The sequence below is a fragment of the Homo sapiens genome, chromosome 12 (assembly GCF_000001405.40).
Source record: "Homo sapiens chromosome 12, GRCh38.p14 Primary Assembly".
Classification (NCBI taxonomy): Eukaryota; Metazoa; Chordata; class Mammalia; order Primates; family Hominidae; genus Homo; species Homo sapiens.
In genome coordinates, this window is record NC_000012.12 from 80,241,388 (window position 1) to 80,265,325 (window position 23,938).

Sequence of the window (23,938 nt, forward strand, 5' to 3'; positions counted from 1 at the left end):
ATATTTTTTAAAATTCTATTCCCTATTTGGTTTCATTTTTAATTTAAGAGCTACTTGCTATAGCTCTTTGTTGTTGTTTTTTTTCTCTTTTTTAAGGATGGCTGTAGGTAGGCCATAGTCCTTATTTAGTCACATATATGGAATTAAAATTGTTCTTATTCCACAGTGTCTCAGTCTTGGACTATTCTCCAGTCATCTTTTCAATTGCCTTATCTTTAATATCTTTAGCACCCATTTGTCAAGTAGTCTGAGATAAAATATTGTTTTGTAGGTCCAGGAAAATCATTCTGCATTTTTTAGTTCAGGATGTTGTTTAGCCGCTTCAACAGCTAAAATGACTGTGACTTAAATTAAATGGAATGTTTATATTTCTCTTACATAAAAATCCATGCCGGTTAGTGGTCTTGGATTGGCATCGTGGCTCTGCTCCATGAGTTTTCCAGTGACTGAATGATCTTGTTGCTACATTTTTCCTTTTGTCGAGGTTATTATTTTCAATTTCATGGCCCAAACTGCATCACCACTATCATGTCCACATTTTAGCCCTTAAAAAGGGAGAAAAAAAACCAAAAGGACTGGCATCTTTTGATCTGGAAGTTTCATGCATGCTTCCACTTTTAACCTTTTGGCCAGAACTTGGATACATGGCCACACCTAGGTGCAAGAGAAGCCGAAACATGTTGTCTTTGGCTGGCAGCCATCTACCTGGCAAAAACTTGGATGTTCTGATACTAAAAAGGAGAAGGGGGAACTGGAGATAAAAATCAGTCTCTGCTACACCCACTTCATCTGAAATTTCATCATTGAGAAATTAACATTTTTGTCTTTTGAAATGTTGATAGTTTTTAGACTTTGACTTTTGAAACTTTGATGCTTTCTCCAGGGAAAACAAAAATAGCAGGATAGAGAAGCAACTTGTGCTGGCTGAAATCAGCTGACACCTTAAGAGATACCTTTGTGGTAGAGAGGCTGGGTTTAGGGACAAAGCAGGCATGTAATAACAAAGGAAGGACATTATAATTAAGTGGACGTTGATAAAATGGAAGTGAGAAGCTGCCAGAGCCAGCCTTTCACTCCCCTCAATATTTCATTCAGGGCTAGACCTATTTACATTCTTTCTTCCATTCTGTAGGAAATGAGTGATTCTCTTCATTTCCTGTATTAGGGGACTGCATCACAAGGGTCCCATACTATGAGAATGAAAATGTGAATTGGTTGAACACAGATTAATTTCCTGCTTGGGTTATGATAGTGTATTGAATTCAATTCAACACACATCTTTTGAGTATCTATTCTGAGCTGAGTATTTTGTCACTCCTTGGAGAAAGAGAAAAAATTTAGACATGATCTCTGTCCTAGGAACTCATATTCTAATAGGGCAGAGAAACAGGTCTCTAACAATGACACAACGCCCTAAATTCAAAGTGCTTTAAATGTAGAGGACAGAACTATTAACTTTATCAGAGAGTGCCTACACAGGCTCCACGGAAGAGATAACATTTGACTTGGAACTTGTGTGATACTCCACCAATCCTTGAATTATGCCGTCCTGTTTCTGCTTCTAAGAATGCCAAACCCAGCAGCAAGGAAATGATTTTAATTTTGCGATGCCAAAGCCAATTGATGTGAAAACCAAGATTTTTTTTTTTGCTCTTTAATTGTTTATTAAAAATGAAAGAGTGGAAATTATTGAGCAAATCCAAATAGAACAAATCTAAAAAATCCATACCAAGACACATTGTAGTCAAATTTCTAGAACCTAAACAAAGAAAAATTCTTGAAAGCAGTGTGAGAGAATGACACCTTAACCTACAGAGGAAAAGTCATTTAAATGAAAGATAATATCTCATCAGAAACCATGGAGACCAGAAGGAAGTGGCTTAAATTTTCTTTAAAGTACTGGGAAAAGAAACCCTACCAATAAGCATTCAGTATCCAATGAAAATATTTTATGGGGATGAAAGGAAAATCAATCATTCTCAGATGAATTTCAGAAATCATCATTCTCAGATGAAGTAAAAACTAAGCAAAATTTTTACCAATACTCCTACCCTAAAAGTATGGGTAACGGACATTCTCTCAATATAAAGGATATGATAAAAATAAGAAATCTTGAAACATTAAAAAAAAGGTGAATGGGGAGAGTAAAAATATGGTGAATACAATAGAATTTCCTCCTCCTCTTGAGTTTTCCAAATTACGTGTGATATTGGAGCAAAAATTCTGACACTCTGATATTGTTCTCAATGTATGTTGAGAAAATAATTGATATAATCATAAACTGGAAAGGATAAAAAATATGCTAAATAAAGGAAAGTTTCTACACCTAATTTGAAATGACAAAATGTCGAAGCCCTTAGACTATAGAATTATATATATAACAAATATATAATAAACACATTTTATATATAAAATATATATTTCCATATATAATGCAATTCTATATATAATATAATCATATATACATATATATATATATATACGATTCCATTATTGATTTCTGCATTGCAGAAATTTGATCCTCCTTCTCTGAGATGGAGCCGGTTTACATTTCCTTTAGTCTAAAGGCTTCAACATTCCACCAGTACAAACTAGGCGCAGAAATCCTCCCTTCTTCATCATGGCACCCAGGAAGAGAATTCCAACTCAGAATATCTTGGCTAAAACCACAACATTGAGCATGGAATTCATTCCTGTGCAGTTTCTCCATGCTAGTCTGTGCCACTAATGATGGTATCTAAGAAGCTATGGAAGAAGGACGAAAGTCCTATTTTTTCTTTTTTTCTTTTTTTTTTTTTATACTTTAAGTTTTAGGGTACATGTGCACATTGTGCAGGTTAGTTACATATGTATACATGTGCTGTGCTGGTGCGCTGCACCCACTAACTCATCATCTAGCATTAGGTATATCTCCCAATGCTATCCCTCCCCCCTCCCCCCACCCCACCACAGTCCCCAGAGTGTGATATTCCCCTTCCTGTGTCCATGTGATCTCATTGTTCAATTCCCACCTATGAGTGAGAATATGCCGTGTTTGGTTTTTTGTTCTTGCGATAGTTTACTGAGAATGATGATTTCCAATTTCATCCATGTCCCTACAAAGGACATGAACTCATCATTCTTTATGGCTGCATAGTATTCCATGGTGTATATGTGCCACATTTTCTTAATCCAGTCTATCATTGTTGGACATTTGGGTTGGTTCCAAGTCTTTGCTATTGTGAATAATGCTGCAATAAACATATGTGTGCATGTGTCTTTATAGCAGCATGATATACCTTTGGGTATATACCCAGTAATGGGATGGCTGGGTCCAATGGTATTTCTAGTTCTAGATCCCTGAGGAATCACCACAATGACTTCCACAATGGTTGAACTAGTTTACAGTCCCACCAACAGTGTAAAAGTGTTCCTATTTCTCCACATCCTCTCCAGCACCTGTTGTTTCCTGACTTTTTAATGATTGCCATTCTAACTGGTGTGAGATGATATCTCATAGTGGTTTTGATTTGCATTTCTCTGATGGCCAGTGATGATGAGCATTTTTTCATGTGTTTTTTGGCTGCATAAATGTCTTCTTTTGAGAAGTGTCTGTTCTTTGCCCACTTTTTGATGGGGTTGTTTGTTTTTTTCTTGTAAATTTGTTTGAGTTCATTGTAGATTCTGGATATTAGCCCTTTGTCAGATGAGTAGGTTGCAAAAATTTTCTCCCATGTTGTAGGTTGCCTGTTCACTCTGATGGTAGTTTCTTTTGCTGTGCAGAAGCTCTTTAGTTTAATTAGATCCCATTTGTCAATTTTGGCTTTTGTTGCCATTGCTTTTGGTGTTTTGGACATGAAGTCCTTGCCCACGCCTATGTCCTGAATGGTAATGCCTAGGTTTTCTTCTAGGGTTTTTATGGTTTTAGGTCTAACGTTTAAATCTGTAATCCATCTTGAATTGATTTTTGTATAAGGTGTAAGGAAGGGATCCAGTTTCAGCTTTCTACATATGGCTAGCCAGTTTTCCCAGCACCATTTATTAAATAGGGAATCCTTTCCCCATTGCTTGTTTTTCTCAGGTTTGTCAAAGATCAGATAGTTGTAGGTATGCGGCGTTATTTCTGAGGGCTCTGTTCTGTTCCATTGATCTATATCTCTGTTTTGGTACCAGTACCATGCTGTTTTGGTTACTGTAGCCTTGTAGTATAGTTTGAAGTCAGGTAGTGTGATGCCTCCAGCTTTGTTCTTTTGGCTTAGGATTGACTTGGCGATGCGGGCTCTTTTTTGGTTCCATATGAACTTTAAAGTAGTTTTTTCCAATTCTGTGAAGAAAGTCATTGGTAGCTTGATGGGGATGGCATTGAATCTGTAAATTACCTTGGGCAGTATGGCCATTTTCACGATATTGATTCTTCCTACCCATGAGCATGGAATGTTCTTCCATTTGTTTGTATCCTCTTTTATTTCCTTGAGCAGTGGTTTGTAGTTCTCCTTGAAGAGGTCCTTCACATCCCTTGTAAGTTGGATTCCTAGGTATTTTATTCTCTTTGAAGCAATTGTGAATGGGAGTTCACTCATGATTTGGCTCTCTGTTTGTCTGTTGTTGGTGTATAAGAATGCTTGTGATTTTTGTACATTGATTTTGTATCCTGAGACTTTGCTGAAGTTGCTTACCAGCTTAAGGAGATTTTGGGCTGAGACAATGGGGTTTTCTAGATACACAATCATGTCATCTGCAAACAGGGACAATTTTACTTCCTCTTTTCCTAATTGAATACCCTTTATTTCCTTCTCCTGCCTGATTGCCCTGGCCAGAACTTCCAACACTATGTTGAATAGGAGCGGTGAGAGAGAGCATCCCTGTCTTGTGCCGGTTTTCAAAGGGAATGCTTCCAGTTCTTGCCCATTCAGAATGATATTGGCTGTGGGTTTGTCATAGATAGCTCTTATTATTTTGAAATACGTCCCATCAATACCTAATTTATTGAGAGTTTTTAGCATGAAGGGTTGTTGAATTTTGTCAAAGGCTTTTTCTGCATCTATTGAGATAATCATGTGGTTTTTGTCTTTGGCTCTGCTTATATGCTGGATTACATTTATTGATTTGCGTATATTGAACCAGCCTTGCATCCCAGGGATGAAGCCCACTTGATCATGGTGGATAAGCTTTTTGATGTGCTGCTGGATTCGGTTTGCCAGTATTTTATTGAGGATTTTTGCATCAATGTTCATCAAGGATATTGGTCTAAAATTCTCTTTTTTGGTTGTGTCTCTTCCCGGCTTTGGTATCAGAATGATGCTGGCCTCATAAAATGAGTTAGGGAGGATTCCCTCTTTTTCTATTGATTGGAATAGTTTCAGAAGGAATGGTACCAGTTCCTCCTTGTACCTCTGGTAGAATTCGGCTGTGAATCCATCTGGTCCTGGACTCTTTTTGGTTGGTAAACTATTGATTATTGCCACAATTTCAGATCCTGTTATTGGTCTATTCAGAGATTCAACTTCTTCCTGGTTTAGTCTTGGGAGAGTGTATGTGTCGAGGAATGTATCCATTTCTTCTAGATTTTCTAGTTTATTTGCGTAGAGGTGTTTGTAGTATTCTCTGATGGTAGTTTGTATTTCTGTGGGATCGGTGGTGATATCCCCTTTATCATTTTTTATTGTGTCTATTTGATTCTTCTCTCTTTTTTTCTTTATTAGTCTTGCTAGCAGTCTATCAATTTTGTTGATCCTTTCAAAAAACCAGCTCCTGGATTCATTGATTTTTTGAAGGGTTTTTTGTGTCTCTGTTTCCTTCAGTTCTGCTCTGATTTTAGTTATTTCTTGCCTTCTGTTAGCTTTTGAATGTGTTTGCTCTTGCTTTTCTAGTTCTTTTAATTGTGATGTTAGGCTGTCAATTTTGGATCTTTCCTGCTTTCTCTTGTGGACATTTAGTGCTATAAATTTCCCTCTACACACTGCTTTGAATGCGTCCCAGAGATTCTGGTATGTTGTGTCTTTGTTCTCGTTGGTTTCAAAGAACATCTTTATTTCTGCCTTCATTTCGTTATGTACCCAGTAGTCATTCAGGAGCAGGTTGTTCAGTTTCCATGTAGTTGAGCGGCTTTGAGTGAGATTCTTAATCCTGAGTTCTAGTTTGATTGCACTGTGGTCTGAGAGATAGTTTGTTATAATTTCTGTTCTTTTACATTTGCTGAGGAGTGCTTTACTTCCAACTATGTGGTCAATTTTGGAATAGGTGTGGTGTGGTGCTGAAAAAAATGTATATTCTGTTGATTTGGGGTGGAGAGTTCTGTAGATGTCTATTAGGTCTGCTTGGTGCAGAGCTGAGTTCAATTCCTGGGTATCCTTGTTGACTTTCTGTCTCGTTGATCTGTGTAATGTTGACAGTGGGGTGTTAAAGTCTCCCATTATTAATGTGTGGGAGTCTAAGTCTCTTTGTAGGTCACTCAGGACTTGCTTTATGAATCTGGGTGCTCCTGTATTGGGTGCATATATATTTAGGATAGTTAGCTCCTCTTGTTGAATTGATCCCTTTACCATTATGTAATGGCCTTGTTTGTCTCTTTTGATCTTTGTTGGTTTAAAGTCTGTTTTATCAGAGACTAGGATTGCAACCCCTGCCTTTTTTTGTTTTCCATTTGCTTGGTAGATCTTCCTCCATCCTTTTATTTTGAGCCTATGTGTGTCTCTGCACGTGAGATGGGTTTCCTGAATACAGCACACTGATGGGTCTTGACTCTTTATCCAACTTGCCAGTCTGTGTCTTTTAATTGGAGCATTTAGTCCATTTACATTTAAAGTTAATATTGTTATGTGTGAATTTGATCCTGTCATTATGATGTTAGCTGGTCATTTTGCTCGTTAGTTGATGCAGTTTCTTCCTAGTCTCGATGGTCTTTACATTTTGGCATGATTTTGCAGCGGCTGGTACCAGTTGTTCCTTTCCATGTTTAGTGCTTCCTTCAGGAGCTCTTTTAGGGCAGGCCTGGTGGTGACAAAATCTCTCAGCATTTGCTTGTCTATAAAGTATTTTATTTCTCCTTCACTTATGAAGCTTAGTTTGGCTGGATATGAAATTCTGGGTTGCAAATTCTTTTCTTTAAGAATGTTGAATATTGGCCCCCACTCTCTTCTGGCTTGTAGGGTTTCTGCCGAGAGATCCGCTGTTAGTCTGATGGGCTTCCCTTTGAGGGTAACCCGACCTTTCTCTCTGGCTGCCCTTAACATTTTTTCCTTCATTTCAACTTTGGTGAATCTGACAATTATGTGTCTTGGAGTTGCTCTTCTCGAGGAGTATCTTTGTGGTGTTCTCTGTATTTCCTGAATCTGAACGTTGGCCTGCCTTGCTAGATTGGGGAAGTTCTCCTGGATAATATCCTGCAGAGTGTTTTCCAACTTGGTTCCATTCTCCCCATCACTTTCAGGTACACGAATCAGATGTAGATTTGGTCTTTTCACATAGTCCCATATTTCTTGGAGGCTTTGCTCATTTCTTTTTATTCTTTTTTCTCTAAACTTCCCTTCTCACTTCATTTCATTCATTTCATCTTCCATTGCTGATACCCTTTCTTCCATTTGATCGCATCGGCTCCTGAGGCTTCTGCATTCTTCACGTAGTTCTCGAGCCTTGGTTTTCAGCTCCATCAGCTCCTTTAAGCACTTCTCTGTATTGGTTATTCTAGTTATACATTCTTCTAAATTTTTTTCAAAGTTTTCAACTTGTTTGCCTTTGGTTTGAATGTCCTCCCGTAGCTCAGAGTAATTTGATCGTCTGAAGCCTTCTTCTCTCAGCTCGTCAAAATCATTCTCCATCCAGCTTTGTTCCGTTGCTGGTGAGGAACTGCGTTCCTTTGGAGGAGGAGAGGCGCTCTGCGTTTTAGAGTTTCCAGTTTTTCTGTTGTGTTTTTTCCCCATCTTTGTGGTTTTATCTACTTTTGGTCTTTGATGATGGTGATATACAGATGGGTTTTCGGTGTGGATGTCCTTTCTGTTTGTTAGTTTCCCTTCTAACAGACAGGACCCTCAGCTGAAGGTCTGTTGGAATACCCTGCCGTGTGAGGTGTCAGTGTGCCCCTGCTGGGGGGTGCCTCCCAGTTAGGCTGCTCGGGGGTCAGGGGTCAGGGACCCACTTGAGGAGGCAGTCTGCCTGTTCTCAGATCTCCAGCTGCGTGCTGGGAGAACCACTGCTCTCTTCAAAGCTGTCAGACAGGGACATTTAAGTCTGCAGAGGTTACTGCTGTCTTTTTGTTTGTCTGTGCCCTGCCACCATAGGTGGAGCCTACAGAGGCAGGTAGGCCTCCTTGAGCTGTGGTGGGCTCCACCCAGTTCGAGCTTCCCGGCTGCTTTGTTTACCTAAGGAAGCCTGGGCGATGGCGGGCGCCCCTCCCCCAGCCTCGCTGCCGCCTTGCAGTTTGATCTCAGACTGCTGTACTAGCAATCAGTGAGACTCCGTGGGCGTAGGACCCTCCGAGGCAGGTGTGGGATATAGTCTCGTGGTGCGCCGTTTTTTAAGCCGGTCTGAAATGCGCAATATTCGGGTGGGAGTGACCCGATTTTCCAGGTGCGTCCGTCAGCCCTTTCTTTGACTCGGAAAGGGAACTCCCTGACCCCTTGCGCTTCCCAGGTGAGGCAATGCCTCGCCCTGCTTCGGCTCGCGCACGGTGCGCGCACCCACTGACCTGCGCCCACTGTCTGGCACTCCCTAGTGAGATGAACCCGGTACCTCAGATGGAAATGCAGAAATCACCTGTCTTCTGTGTCGCTCACGCTGGGAGCTGTAGACCGGAGCTGTTCCTATTCGGCCATCTTGGCTCGAGAGTCTGAAAACCAAGATTCTTTAATACCCATTTTTCCTATTAAAGTTATCATTCAAAATGGAAAAAATAAACTTATTTTCCCCTTAGTAAATTATAATTTTTTTCTTGATAATAATTTCTTTCTTGCCCAATTATTGTGAGTTTTCATGAGGTGTCACATATTAATGTGCCTGTCATGGTTCCTAGAATAACATAAACAACAAATGGTGAGTATTATAGTAATAGTTGCATTGGGCTGGAAAACCAATATTCAGTTGCTTTGCTAACTTTTAAAACCACCGTTAATGTAGGAAAGAATGCACATATTAGAAGGTAAATCATAAATGTAATGTCTTTCCAGGAATTTAGCAATTTTAGCCTAAACTGTTTTGAAAAGACTTTTCTTATTTGTAGGTTTAGAATATTTTCTGAGCCTCTAGAGTTTATATGCTCAGTCCTTTTTTCGTTCTAAAGTTCAGTTGATTGGACTAGATAAGCTGCAGGACTCCCATTACAGTAGCACAGGATAAGGGCAATTTGAGATGGTGGCTTTTACAATAGTGACACTGAAAATGTTAAGCCTCACAAAATGCAGCATTCTTAAGACCATTATCTCCTAAGATATTTAACTATTCAATTTTGAGTTTGGATTAGGTTGAAAAACAAGCCCTCTACCTTGGTGTAAATCTGCTTACTTGATAAGTGCCTTGTTAATCTGCTTTGGGAATTTTCAGAGCTCTAATAGGAAATTATTTTGGGGGGAAGCTCCTGAAGTGATTATAAGAAAATAATTAAAGATTATTTAGTCTTGGCAATGTTATAAAAATAATTAGCTTTAGTAATTTAAACTTGAAAGAATTCAAAATCCTCTTTTAAATCTTAAATGCCATTTATTCAATCTTTCAAACAACCCAATTGCCCATCAGTGATAGACTGGATAAAGAAAATGTGGCACATATACATCATGGAATAACTACGTTTTGGATTCTTATTGCAAGAACTGCTGAGGAACCATTAAAATACTTTTGATTACTATAGATTATTGGTATTGGTTTTATTCCAGTATGTGGATAATCAAGAGTATGATCTTTTGGAAACAGCTTTCATATTTATTGTTTTTGTGGTGATAGAATTTTATCTGTTTTAACAGGACTTATTAAATTCTAAAAGGCCTGGAATGTTTTGTGTGTGAGTGAAAAAATACACGGATTATGGGGAAAATGTTATAATTAAAATATAAATCTTTTTCATTATAGTATTCCTTTGACTCAAAAGAAAAGTGATAAAATTATTAAAATGCTTTGATGAAGATTATTTATCTAGGCCTAATTAGCTGGGGACCCATGCTCATGTGTTTTCTGCATTGTTGTACTTAATAAGATATATTATGAGTGACACATATGCTGACATCAATTAACATCGGAGTATTCATCATGCACTCAGCATTTCTAGGGATCAGGACCTCAATGGTATGGTTTCTGTCAATATTTCCTATGTGATTCTGGCTCTGTCTTTTCACTTTCTAGAACTGATGATGATGAAACCTATTGCCGAGCAGCCACTGAGTATGCTAGAGCCTGCTCTCATGCTGGCTACCCTATTCAAGACTGGAGAGATGACTTTCCAGCATGCAGTATGTTTTTTTATTTTCCAAGCCCTGTGTACTTTTGCCAATTTTGGGTTAAACCTAGAACTCAAAACTTACTGTACTACTCAATACTAATGAATTGCAAGGATTTGTTATTGAGATATCCATGAACTTGCATACTTTTTGAAACAAGTATGCAATTTTTTTGCAATTAAAAGTTATTTTTTGCAAATTATTTTTTGTAAAAAATAAAATTATAATTTTAAAAAAGAAATAGAGGCTAATAAAATTGACTTAAGCTCCCCTGTTTGTCTGTTTTAGCTGATAAATGTGATGATAGCTTTGTCCATCGGGACTGTATCAGTTGTTGTCCACCAACCTGCACATTTGAGAAGCAATGTCTTGGGAGCAATCTCCATTGTCTTGATGGATGTTACTGCCCAGATGGTAAGTGCTTCATGAAGAAACCATGTCTGCACTCATGGAAACTAGTACCCAGTGATCTAAGGATCACATCTTCGTTTTGCTGTCCTTTCCCAGTACATTGGACCTATTGCAATTTTCTGTTCTTGTAGAAGTTGGTCCTTGAAGTGACAAGGAGGAATGGCTACTTTTCATTGATAAAAGGCTCATTACTTTGTAAAGTTTCCAGGAAATTTGGAATCTATAGTCCTGAAGTTACCCATGAGAAATCTTTTGTTCGATCAATATTTAATGGTATTTAACAATTTATATATCTTCACTTTTTAAAAAAGGAAAGGAAGTTTGAGAGAAAGGTTTCACATTTTTCTGGCACAATCTAGTACTGATGTAGTTTTAATATTTGAAATTAAAAGTAACTTAGCAAGTGAGAGAGGTAGGATTTAAAATTAGGAATGAATCTGCTATACTGATAGCTGTTTCTAAAGAACACTGAGGATTTACTCAAACCCTTTTTATTTTTACAGATTAAAAAAATAGAATCACAGAGATAAGTGATTTTCCCAATATCCTCATTAACTGAGTGAGGATTACTTGGAACCAGATCTGTTTGGCCTCTGCTCATTGTTCTGTTAGTGCTACTCAAAGTATGGCGGACCAGTGCTAGTCTGAGCTGTTTGTGACCTGTCAATGACAAGATAAGGCATTTGCACCAGAATGTAAGCCCAAGCACCAAAATAAAGTCAGTGCTTTCTCCTACAGTCTTACCATGAAAAGGTCAGCTGAATGAAACACTGTGCTTAGTAACATGGCTGATTTAAATTCTGGCTCAACCTCCTTTACCTGTCAGACAGCAGTAACAAATGCAGTCGCATGGTCTTGGACATTTGAGTAGCAGTACCTAGCTCTTTATGATTCTGTGTGACAGTGTAAATCTTTCTCATCTTGGAATGAACAGAAACTAAACTAAAAATGTACTTTCTCCCTCCTTCTCTCCCTTCCTCCCTCAAATGCAAGGAAACATTGTTTTGTTTCCTTTATTCTGTATGGTGAACCTTGAGTTTTTGATGGCAAGTCATGGGATAAGAAAATTGAAAACTACTGAAATAGATCCTTTAAGGTAGCTACTGCCTGAGAGTCAGGTTGTCAGTAATCCCACTGAAAGTAAAGAAATTTGTATTTCCAGCATCATGCGTAGGTATTCAACAGAAGTTGGTTGAATTATTATATTCCAGAAATACAATCTTTATTATTTCTTTTGAAATTTTGATGTGTATTTCTTCTCAATTAGGCCTCGTAATGGACAATGGGACTTGCATCTCCTTGGAAAATTGCCCATGCGGTTTTCATGGATTAGCTTATTCAGTTGGTTCAAAAATTGAACAAGAATGTACTGAATGGTATGTGATCAGTGTGCAGCCAATTATTTCTGGGTACTTGGCTAGTTGACAACTTTACCATGACAGATGTTTAAAGGAATATACTCATTACTAATTTACTTCCCAAATTCCAACACAAAACTTGCATTTTATTTAAACTCCTTGGGGGAAGGGACATCTGTATTTCCTTTTATGATGTAATTCTTATCACTTACCTTGGTAATTCTATAACATCTTATATCCACATAATGAGTCTGTTGCATTTTCTTATCGTTTGTAATCACTAATTTGCACATACTGTTAGAACTTGATGGTGCTTCTGGGCTTCTCTGTTACATACTATAAAACATGCCTCTCCAGATCACCAATTTTTGGTCCATGATTAGAAACATTTAGAATTCCATATTAAATTTGCTAACTAACACTGTTGTCAAATATGAAATCCCTGCAGGACAGTCCTAAAAAGAAACAGAGGTCTAAATGTTGTCGGATACTTTTCCCTTTGGTGTCTGTGTATATAATTGAAATGTAATAGGATAACTAACCACATTCTCAGATGCTGATTCTGTTTCCGTTTTACAGGTACTCTGCTTTTGTCCTCTAAAACTCACACCTTTGTCAGGGTGGAAGGTAGAATTTATCTGACATAAGAGGAGATCTCTTCTCTCTTTTTAATACCTGTTGATCTTCATCATAGTCAGTGATTTTTACATATGACACACAAGAGATAATAATTTAGGTGCCAGCCAGCTCAAAATTACCAGTCAATTGAACTTATGCAGAGATGATTTTTTTATTATTATTTATTGATTTTATTTATTTTATTTTATTTTTTGCAGAGATTTTTTTAAGTCAGATTATTCTGAACCTATAAACATGATATATTTTGGTCCATTAATCAATACATTGATGCAAACATTAATACAGTTTCTCTATGCCAATAGATTAATATTTTTATAATTTCTTTTAGTGTGTGTGTTGGTGGAGTTTGGAACTGCACTGAGCAAGACTGTCCAGGTAATTTTTTAAAATGTTTTTATAGAGAATGTTTCAAATTTCTTTAGACTGGGGAGAAAGATAGCACTGATCTTTATGAAGACATCTCATATATACCAAGGGCTACAATAATCTGTAAATGCAATTACTCAGAGGATACATGGAAAATTGAACAAGTGATAGCATTGAGTGGGCAACTTTGGTAAAACTTTATTAAAATAGTGTAAATGTTATAAAACCTAAAAAATGTGGAATAAATATCATTTTATAAACATTAAATTAAATGGGATAATATAATTTAGTCTAGTAAGTTTGTCAAACCAGTAAATTTTAAATACAACACAGTAGATTTTCAAAGTTTTGATGCATGATTATTTACCCTAAGTTGATCTGCTTTTAAAGGATTAACCTAATGGTATCATCCTCCTCTCTCTCCTCCTCTATCTCCACCTCCTTTTCTTTTTCTTTGTTTTCTTTTTTTTTTTGGCAGTTCAATGCTCAGTTGTAGGTGATTCTCACTTTACAACTTTTGATGGTCGACATTATTCTTTTATTGGCATGTGCCAATACATCCTCGTGAAAGGAACTGGAAAAGATAAATTCACGATTACTTTACAGAAAGCTCCCTGTGAGCAGGTAAGAACATTTCAAAATGACCAGAGGAATATGGATTCACTGATTTTTGCTTAAACTTCATTTCAGACTAAGAATGATAACATGAGTGGATATAGCTATTTTCCTTAACACTAAGATGACATTGATTATTAAGATACATCATTATTCTACATATTAGAAAGAAGTGTTGATAATTATTCTATGACATACCATTGGTTACATGACGCATCTTGATCTCAGAGATATTAAGCTGTGAAAACAAGTATGTCTTAGATTAAATACTATATATTTAATTGCATTTTCTTTTTTAAAAAGTAGTACGTATAGTTTTTTGTACATATAGTTTTGTACGTATAGTTTTTTGAACATTTTATGCATGATTGTACAATGGATCTAAGTTTTTTGTTTGCTTCAACCTAGCTATTTTAAAGAGACTATTTTTGACAGTTTTGAACTGGTTTCATAGCATTCTAAACAGATATGATGAATTTCTTAACATATTGGAATATTTATTTAGATCTTTTCTTGAAATAGTAAACTCATCAATAATTTCTAAATAAAGAAATCTAGGTCTTTCATTCATCTCTCTAAAGCAGGTAGTCAAAATTTTGCCAAAATATTTAATTTTTTAGTTCTATTCTAATAGAAAATAATTATTTCCAACAAAAATTCTGAACTGCTTTATTTGTTTTTTTTCCAGTTTTATTTTTTCTATGTAATATATTAGAGTCTGAATTAACTTTCTGTGTAGAAGTCTAATTCTCTTGGTTCTTTGCTTTATTGACTTTTTTTGTCTAATACGCCAGTTAAATGAATTTAGAGAGGTACTTTATATGCCATGGAAAACATAACTATTGGTACTTTACTGAAAGACTTTAATGTTCTAAGTAAAATGTATGTATACATCTGATATATTTAATGTACTATATAAAGTTATATTTTATTAGGAATGGGGCTACATAAAATGGGTTATATATCAGCTACTTTATTACATTACTTATACTCAAGGCTTTTATATATTAGAAATTCTAATTTATATGCACTCTCTTTCTTTTTTGTTCTCTCCTCTCTCTTTCTCCCCTTCTCCCTTTCTCCCATCTCCACCTTCCTGTCTCTTTCTATGGCTCTCTCTCTCTCCCATTCCTTGCATTGATAATTTGATTTTTACGCAGAATCTTGGCTTGGTCTGCCTTCAGTCTATAACTCTGATTCTGGAGGATGATTTTAACAAACAAGTGACCCTTGGTAGGGGAGGACAAATTCTCACTAGTCCTAACCAAGGCTTCAACCTGAATGGTAAGAAACAGTGCTAATGGTGTACTTTCTTTACATCAAACAAACAAACAAACAAACAAACAACACACGCAAACAAAATGGGATCTTTTCCTAATGTTAGGCTGACTACCTAGCATTTATAGAGTTTGTATGTGTCATCAGGCCATCAGCTACAGATAGTGATGATGATTATGTTTATGGGACCTAGTGATTACCTCAAGTGATCTAGACTTTGGAAGGGAAGAGAGACAAGCAAGCAGCCACTTACAATAAAATGTGATAGACTCAAAGACATACATAAAGACTTTGGGGAGTCTAAATGAGGTGCAGCTCACTCAGCTCTGGAGAGGGGTGTACTGAAATGGTCAGGAGTGTTTTCTGAAAGAGGTGGGTGATTATACAATGATTGTCTCATTGAGCATTTAAGGATGAGGAATTGCTGGGTTGAAGGGGATGGGGAAAGTGTTTCATGCAGATCAAGGAGGTGTCGAATTTTGCAGCATATTTAGGGGGAACCAGAACTAAATTGGTTTTGCTACAGCAGAGAGAGGGTAAAGGAGAATGTCTGGATGTAGGTAAGGATGAGAAGGGCTTATGTAGGAGGCATTTTACATTGTGGATTTCTGGGGCAGGTCCTGTTCATGCCTGCATTCCAGCATAGCTGTTAATAACACTCTCACTCTCAAAAATGTCTTGATTTATCTTACAAATCACATGCTCACGCTACACAGGTGTCAGGCTAGGGAAGTTGAACTTGATACGAATCAAATATGAAATTATCATTTTTGACCATTTTTATGTACAAAGAGGGCAATCTCACGGTTCAACCAAATAAATGGTGAGTTTTTAAGGAGGTTTTAAGGTGAAGTTTTTTTTTTTTTGGTACATGACTATGACAACAGTGTAGAAGTGACTTTGAGAGTTGCTAGACAGGAAATATGGACAAGAGTTAGGATGTTATAAAAGTAGGGCATGTGAGGAATGAGGAGGAGGTCATCTAAGGCAGTGATGATAGAGATGGAGAGAAGAAGACAGATTGAAAAAACATTTAGGACAAAAGTCTGAACTTGGTAATGGATTTCAAATGTCTAAGGACTTCCTCCTTCCTTGTGAGATGCTTGCAAACTGAAAGTATGTATTGACCTGAACAACTACTAAAAATGGCTGCTGAAGACCAGGAAGGAGGGAGAAAAGGAGAGGAATAGGAGGGAAAAAAGGCAGCCATAGGTGGCAAAAATTTGGCCCTGAAGCACAGACAGGAACCACTAGCCTGCCTCTCCTCCTTCCCTGGTATCTGGGGAAGAGAGTCCTGGTGGTGTACCCTAGCATTTCAGAACACCGTCTATGAATGTCAAAGCTGATTTACGTATGTTCTTTTCCTGCAGGTATTGTTGAAATTCAAACTCTGTCATCCTTATTTATACTTCTAAAAACCACATTTGGTTTAAAGATTCTGTTTGCTATAGATGGGGAAAGAATTTATATTCAGCTTACTAGCGCATGGAAAAGAAGAACATTAGGTCTGTGTGGCACTTTTAATGGCAACATAAGGGATGATTTTCTGTAAGTATGATTTCTGCATAGTTAACATACTTAATGACTGGTCATTTAAAGGATATAAATTCATTAAAAATGTTTACTTAACTAATAATTGCTTAGCTGTCATTATCCCAAGAGATTTACATGGATCATCGTATTTAAAATGTATAGCAATCTCTGATAAATATGTTTATTTTGTAGATAAGGAAACTAATCAAGTCCTCAAAGTGGCAAATAAATCATTCAAGGTCACTTAGCTCACATGTAGTGGAGCTAGGCTTTGGATTTAGACAGTGTGGCTCAGCTATGCTCACTGTTCCAGCTATTCTCTTCTCTGCCATCTACCAACCTTAACAGTATTTTATTTTTGAAACATAGCTGCCTAAAAAAACCAAACAAATAAACAAACAAAAAACCCTCAATATCAGTATGCATTAGTGGTAGTAAATACTCTATAAATATTGATATCATTTGGTATTATTAATACCTAAAAAGCAACATTTTATTATCTTGCTAGATACTGTGATTGTTGGTGTTTCATTGGAAAAGAAGCAATAACACATATTTGTACCCCTTGTATTGACCAGGTACTTTTCACCTACGTGTGAAAAGAAGCAGTTTATAATTTAGTGTAAATGCTTTGTGCACTTGTTATCATGCTAAAAGCACAATGGGAGCAATTTAAGCAGTAGACCATGGTTCTCATCCTCATGGAGCTTTGTGTTGCAGATCAGGAGAGGATAACAACCTTTAAGAAATATATCTGGAATCTAAAATAGTTGAAATCACAGAAGCAAAGTATTATAGAATGGTGTTTGCCAGAGGATAAGGGTCGGGGTGGGAGTGTGGGAAGATGTTGGTCAAAGGGTACAAAGTTTCAGCTAGACAGGGTGCATAAGCTTGGGAGATGTTTTGAGATCAATTAATTATATAATGACTATAATTAATGTGTACTTGAAAATTGCTAAGAGAGTAGATATTAAAAGTTCTCACAGCAAAAAATAAGAATGTGAGGTGATGCACATGTTCATTAGCTTGATTTAACCATTTCACAATGTATACCTCGGAACATCATGTTGTACTCTGTAAATGTATATAATTTTTTTTAGCTATACCTTAATTTTAAAAATAAAAAATGAATATTTAGTGTTAGGCAAGGATCAATCAACTATATATATATATAAATAAATCAACTATTATATATAAAAATCAACTATATATATAAATGCTGAGGTGATTCTAAAAATTAAGTGTTGGGCTTTGTGATTATGGCTAGAAGAACAATAGGGGGTTCACTGTGGGCTGGGCAGCCAGGGGACATTTCATGGAGAAGCTACTCTCCAAATACTGTTTCATTTCTTTTTTAAAACATTTTATTTAATTTATTATTATTATTTTTATTTTATATTAAGTTCTAGGATACATATGCTGAATGTGCAGGTTTGTTACATAGACATACATGTGCCATGGTGGTTTGCTGCACCTATCAACCCGTCATCTAGGTTTTAAGCCCCGCATGCATTAGGTATTTGTCTTAATGCTCTTCCTCCCCTAGCCCCACACCCCCAGACAGGCCCCAGTGTGTGATACTCCCCTCTCTGTGTCCATGTGTACTCATTGCTCAACTCCCACTTATGAGTGAGAACATGCGGTGATTGGTTTTCCGTTCCTGTTATAGTTTGCTGAGGATGATGGTTTCCAGCTTCATCTACGTCCCTGCAAAAGACAGGAACTCATTCTTTTTCATGGCTGCATAGTACCACATTTTCTTTATCCAGTCTATCATTGATGGGCATTTGCGTTGGTTCCAAGTCTTTGCTATTGTAAATAGTGCTGTAATAAAATATATGTGCTTTTTAAAAAACATTCTTGCCCATACCCTCCTTCCTGCTTGGGTTCTCTCCTGCTCCTCATCTTTCTTGTGACCTCCCATTTATTGTTCACCCCAATTCAGACATTATTTGCCTCAAAAAGCTGAGCATTCAAAGTTAAATCTGACAATGCATTATCTATGAAAATTTATTGTTTATCTGTCTGGTTTCTTGTCTTGTTTATCTGTTAGGGCTTTGAGACTAAGAGTTGTGTCCTTGGTCTTTGTATTCTTAGGAACTAGCATAGAACCTCACATATAGTGGACAGTTAATTGAACTGAGGTAGAATGTTTAGTGGGGCATCAGGAAGATAGTTTGAATGGGCAAGGGGAACTGGCATTTAAAATTTAAAAAATTTTAATTTCTTCTATCTTGTCTCCTTGTCTTCCTGTACCTTGTTTTTAGGTAATTCAGTTTTTTGTTTTATTTATTTGTAGGTCAAAATATTGATATCTTCACCACACTTGAGAAGCAGAAATTACATTAAGTGGCTTGGCTATGATGTTCAGAAAAGACATTAATCCTGTTTTCTCTTCTTTGTTTGTCACAATGGGTCAGCAGTCAATGTTTAAGAGTCGGCAGATCTGTCTGCCTCTTTCTAAGGCACCAGTCCCCGCCACGTGTAAACATTTAGGTGTGATAAGAGTGCAAGATGATACTTCAGAGTCAGAGATAACTTGTGAACAGTGTTTAGCTTTCCAACTTAAGTAGTTAAAACTCTTTCTTCACAAAGGTTAATGTGAATATGCAGACATTGCGGAATAGAAAATATTAATTACTTGAAAACATATTTTGTATGCCTTATTATAATAAGTTGACTATGGTGAGCTGAAACGTTATTTTATAAAATGAAAGACAATAAATAAGTCCACATTTTAGCTCTATTTTTAAAATTTATTGTTTTAAGGTAAACTAAATGAAATAAGAGAGCCAAGCTCTAAGTCAGTTCCACCTGGAAACCTTGACCTGTCACCCTGACCTATTTTATTATCCTTCAGAGGAGTGAAGAGAGAAGGAAGGGGAAAGAATGAGAAGAAATGAAGTAGCACAAACCATGCAATTACTTTGAGTCTCACTGTTCTTAAATAAACAAAATGAGATTTTGTACTAGGGTGTTTGTTGCAGTTCTTTACAGTTATGGGCTAGTTTGATTTTGAGGAATAGGAAAAGGAGAGAAGGACGAAAGGGTGGGGACAAGGAAATGGCTTGCGTTGCTCCCTTTTTTTGTCCTCTCTCGGTCACTCTGCTGAGCAGCTCCAGTGAAAATAGTTAATCTATAAGGACACTAGAGAAAGCTGAGATAATGCCTACTCTTCTACTTAGCCATATTGGAGGAGTTAACACAGTCAGGATTGTGGTGTGGTCAAAAACTTCCTGCAGGAGATCTAGTTCAACCTGATTCCTAAGAAGTTTTGATAGTGTCTGGCACATTGTCCAATAGGGGTTGTCACTTAATAAATGTTGGTTGATGAATGAATACATCTGAATGGCTGCTGGGGGTGGAATTGCAGTGTTTGTTTCCTAAACACTGTTGTAGTTTTAAGATAGATGTTTTTCATTTGGTTTGCCCACTTCATAATGGAATCTTGATATTTCGGATCTCATAATGGAAATTGAAATATTGAACTGGATATATAGACTATTTATATTTTGAGATATTTGTCTTTACTTTGAAAAAAATCATGTGAAATGCCCATACTAACTTCCCCACATGCACCCTCAACCACACACATGCTAAAGTTTTGGTTGTGTGAGTGTATGTGGTTAAGTCAGGGAGAACTGTGAATCGTGGCTTTGATACTTAGCAGCTTAGTGTAATTTAATATTTCTCGGAGATTCTGCTTTGCTTTCTCTGTAAAATGGGGATAAAAGATGTTTTTCTTATAAGTTTGAGATGAAGATTAAATAAAATCATGTATGTCTACAATTTGGCACATTGCAAAATGTCAGTAATATGGAGCTTAATATCGTTGTACTTTTTTTTAAACTGGTAGAAAATTTCAAGCTGTAAGATTTCCTTGTACATTATGAAAAATAGTATTCTCTTATTTAAATATCTGAAGGTTATGAACAAATGAATGAGAGATACATGAAGATGAGCATTGTCTTTGCTTTCTAGTTCTCCATCAGGCATGATAGAAGGTACACCACAACTTCACGCAAATGCGTGGAGAGTTTCTTCTACCTGTTTTGCACCTGTTCATGTCCCAGTGGTGGACCCCTGTAACATCAATCAACAAAACAGTAAGTTTTGCATGTAAACTTCCTTTCTGCTGTAAACTTAGGGAAAAGTTCTATGTATTACTATAATTTTATAAAATTAGATAGTTTAAATTCTAATTTTCTCCATTATGGTAAAATCAATGCCATTCCTCGTGTATTTTTTTTTTGCTTAATATTATGCCTTTACATATGTCTTTTCATGTAATCTAGGTTGTTTTTTAAAAACCTGACAGTGGCTTTTATTTCCTATTTTTATTTCATAAATTTTCTTATTTTAGATGTTTAGAAATCCCTTGTTTGCAGATGTGGACTAGCATTTGGGAGTTTTCAGAGTCTTTAAATACTAAAGAAAAGCCTCTAGGAATCCTCTGAGAATGCTGTGATAGTCCAGGGATGTTCGATGTCAGTTATTACCATCTCATTACTCATTGCTCATGAGCCCTACTCATAGCATATATTATGGCTTTATAAGCAGGAAGCCAGTGATCCAAAGAGGCTTTGTGCCATTGAGTGGGCAACAATTTGAGATGGTCATGCTCCAGAGTTCCAATTTGCAATGACAGGACAACTCACATGCTAAGAATTTTTGGCTGCATTTTTTAAAACTAAAGCCCCAGCAAACCATGTTAAAGTCCAGTTCACTTTGCAATAAAAAAGATATACATGTATATATTCAGATAGAAGATACACATGTATATATTCAGATAGAAGATATATACAAGACATACACATGTATATATATAATTGTGAAAAAATTAATGTACATGCTTAAATATTCTTATAAGTTTATTTTTTCCTTTAATCATCTTGGCTAGTTCACTATTTGGATGTAGTTTTTAAAAATACATTACTCATATTGGTTGAGCTTTCATAAGAAGCCAGCACAGTTTACGGATCATGCGGTGGTTGTTGGGAGGATTCTGTTGATTGCCATATTGTTTTTATTATTAACATAGGATTCTGGTATGCTGGAAAGAGCAGAAGATACTTTTGCTCTTTGTGCTTTCTGTCTTTTTTAAATCTAAGCCAGCTTTTAAACTTGAAAACGTTTCTTAACCTCTTTGATCATTTTTCTTATCTATAATAACACGGCTAGACTAGAGTTTTTTAGTTTCATGAATGACTACTTTTAATCTCACTCCCATTTAACAATACCTTCCTCCATTCTGTCCCCAACTTTCAACTAATCTACTCCTCCTCCTTCAACTACTCTTGTTTGGTTTGTTTCTTTCTTGGTTTCCTCCTGGATATTGTAGCAACTTTACTTTTTATTTTTTAATAACATGTTAAAGTTGAAGTAGAGTTCAATTGATAAATTCAGTTTCCCTGTGGTCATTTCTTTAGTTACCTCCTTTATTATATGCTATTTTGCTCTATTTTCTATCACTTTTCTTCCCATATCCCATGTCTTTTAAATATATACATACACGAAATTGAAATATTAAACTGGATATATAAACTATTTATATTTTGAGATATTTGCCTTGTCTTTGAAAATAAGCCTGTGAACTACCCACATTAATTTCCCCACATGGACCCTAAACCACACACATGCTATGTACATGCATACATATATTTGATATTAACTTTTTTTTAGCTTTGCCATGAACTGTGATTTTTTTTTAAAAAAATTCAAATAGGTAAATTCAGGAAGATCCTCAAAGAAAGGAAAATAAGTAGACAAAAGTCAATAACTCTGATCTAGATTCTAAAGGATTTTTTTTCATGAGGATCTTCTTTAGTTATCCTTAACTTAATGTCAGTGGGAATATACTTTGATCTACAAATTGTTAGCCTCTTTGGTGTATTACTTTGCTCTTTCAGGATCCTTGGCATTAAGAATATATATGTAAACAGTATACTGCTATAGTTTAAGTCATTTGTTTTTATATACATATACATTCTGAATGCAAAAATATCATACTTGAGCAATTATCATGTTTTCTTACCAATAATAAATATATGTAATATACTCAACAAAATAAGTTCAGTATAATTCCTTAGTAGTGAAAAAACTGATCTCCAACAGCTTATCTGGTCTGTAAAAGACAATGACAATGAAAAGATTGATTAATTTTATCTGTTAGGAAACCAAGGAAAACTAGGTCCACGATATCAAGAAACCACAAACCTACCCTCTTTCAGAAAGATGGAATCTGAATTGTTTTGTCAAACTTGGTTACTTCTATAAAGAATTATATCTGATCAGTCATTCTCAAGGGAAAAATCAACAGATTTCAGGAAATGATTACACAGATGTCCTCCCCTCCCCAGGTGATTTTATAGTTACATCTCATGGCCTTCAGCATATACCCTAATCCCCAATTTCTACTCATTATTCACTTATTCATGCATTTATAGATTTATTTATCAAACATTATTGAGCTCCTAATATCTGCCAGACATTGTACACTGTGCATTGTGCAGACATTGAGTTCAACAACTATGTGGCATCTGACACATTACCATTCATTTCAGAGACTCCATTGAAATGAGATCATTCCCAATTCTTCCTAGACAATTGTGTATTACACAGGGTTGCCATAATATCCACAATCTGGAACCACTTTGTTATATGTGGATGTCTGGAAATAAGCCTCCCAATACTCTCCAATTCTTTATAGTAGGTTTCCTAAGATGATCCTCATGCAATGGGATGGTTGAGGCCACTGCTTCTCTCAACCCTTCTATTACTCATGTTATTCAGGTACAATACACTATTTTTTTTCCTAAAAGTCTGTTGAATGTGGATTAAGTGCTGTTACCAATATTATATAAAAAAAACAAAAACTGTATAAGCTGAAATTGTTCACTCTTGTATTAAAAGTAATATGCACTACAGTGTATTTCTAAGAACGTGAAATGCTTGGATAATTCTGGGGTAAGATCTGAACTGTTAAATAAGATGCTAATTGGGCTCTTTGTTAGTTGGGTATGCAGCACACTGTGATGTCATCCACCAGGAGCTCTTTGCTCCTTGCCACATCTATATTAGCCCTGGGCTGTACTATCAGCTATGCCGCCACGATGCATGCAAGTGTGGAAGCTCCTGCCTGTGCAATGCTCTTGCCCACTATGCCTACCTCTGCGGCCAGCACGGTGTTCCCATTGATTTCAGAACTCAGATTTCTTTCTGTGGTGAGTACAATGGCACAGATAAAGACTATCAGATAATACCTTAGAGACCTCTATGTTTGTAATGACTGCTTTTATTTTTTAAATGAAATGTCAATATTGCATGTAAGTTATTTGA

The 23,938-nt window shown here is 36.4% G+C and overlaps 1 protein-coding gene across 7 annotated transcripts in view, besides 2 other annotated features; it reads left to right on the top strand.

Annotated features, from left to right (window-relative positions):
• OTOGL (otogelin like) overlaps nt 1-23,938 on the top strand; it is a 281,344-nt gene that overhangs the window by 141,851 nt on the left and 115,555 nt on the right. For all 7 annotated transcript variants that reach the window (NM_001368062.3, NM_001378610.3, NM_001378609.3 and 4 more), the window contains 9 exons: nt 10,306-10,412; nt 10,689-10,814; nt 12,079-12,187; nt 13,137-13,183; nt 13,653-13,798; nt 14,950-15,073; nt 16,438-16,615; nt 20,582-20,706; nt 23,614-23,823. In NM_001368062.3, coding sequence (NP_001354991.2) covers nt 10,306-10,412; nt 10,689-10,814; nt 12,079-12,187; nt 13,137-13,183; nt 13,653-13,798; nt 14,950-15,073; nt 16,438-16,615; nt 20,582-20,706; nt 23,614-23,823 — 1,172 coding nt within the window. The remainder of the gene's footprint in view (nt 1-10,305; nt 10,413-10,688; nt 10,815-12,078; nt 12,188-13,136; nt 13,184-13,652; nt 13,799-14,949; nt 15,074-16,437; nt 16,616-20,581; nt 20,707-23,613; nt 23,824-23,938) is intronic.
• Nucleotides 7,957-8,549: an enhancer, noted in NCBI's record as "H3K27ac-H3K4me1 hESC enhancer chr12:80643124-80643716 (GRCh37/hg19 assembly coordinates)". NCBI's record gives its function as "activates a minimal SCP1, AML or CMV promoter by ChIP-STARR-seq in naive H9 embryonic stem cells {active_cell/tissue: H9 hESC(naive)}" and the evidence as "EXISTENCE:reporter gene assay evidence [ECO:0000049][PMID:30033119]".
• Nucleotides 8,550-9,141: an enhancer, noted in NCBI's record as "H3K27ac-H3K4me1 hESC enhancer chr12:80643717-80644308 (GRCh37/hg19 assembly coordinates)". NCBI's record gives its function as "activates a minimal SCP1, AML or CMV promoter by ChIP-STARR-seq in naive H9 embryonic stem cells {active_cell/tissue: H9 hESC(naive)}" and the evidence as "EXISTENCE:reporter gene assay evidence [ECO:0000049][PMID:30033119]".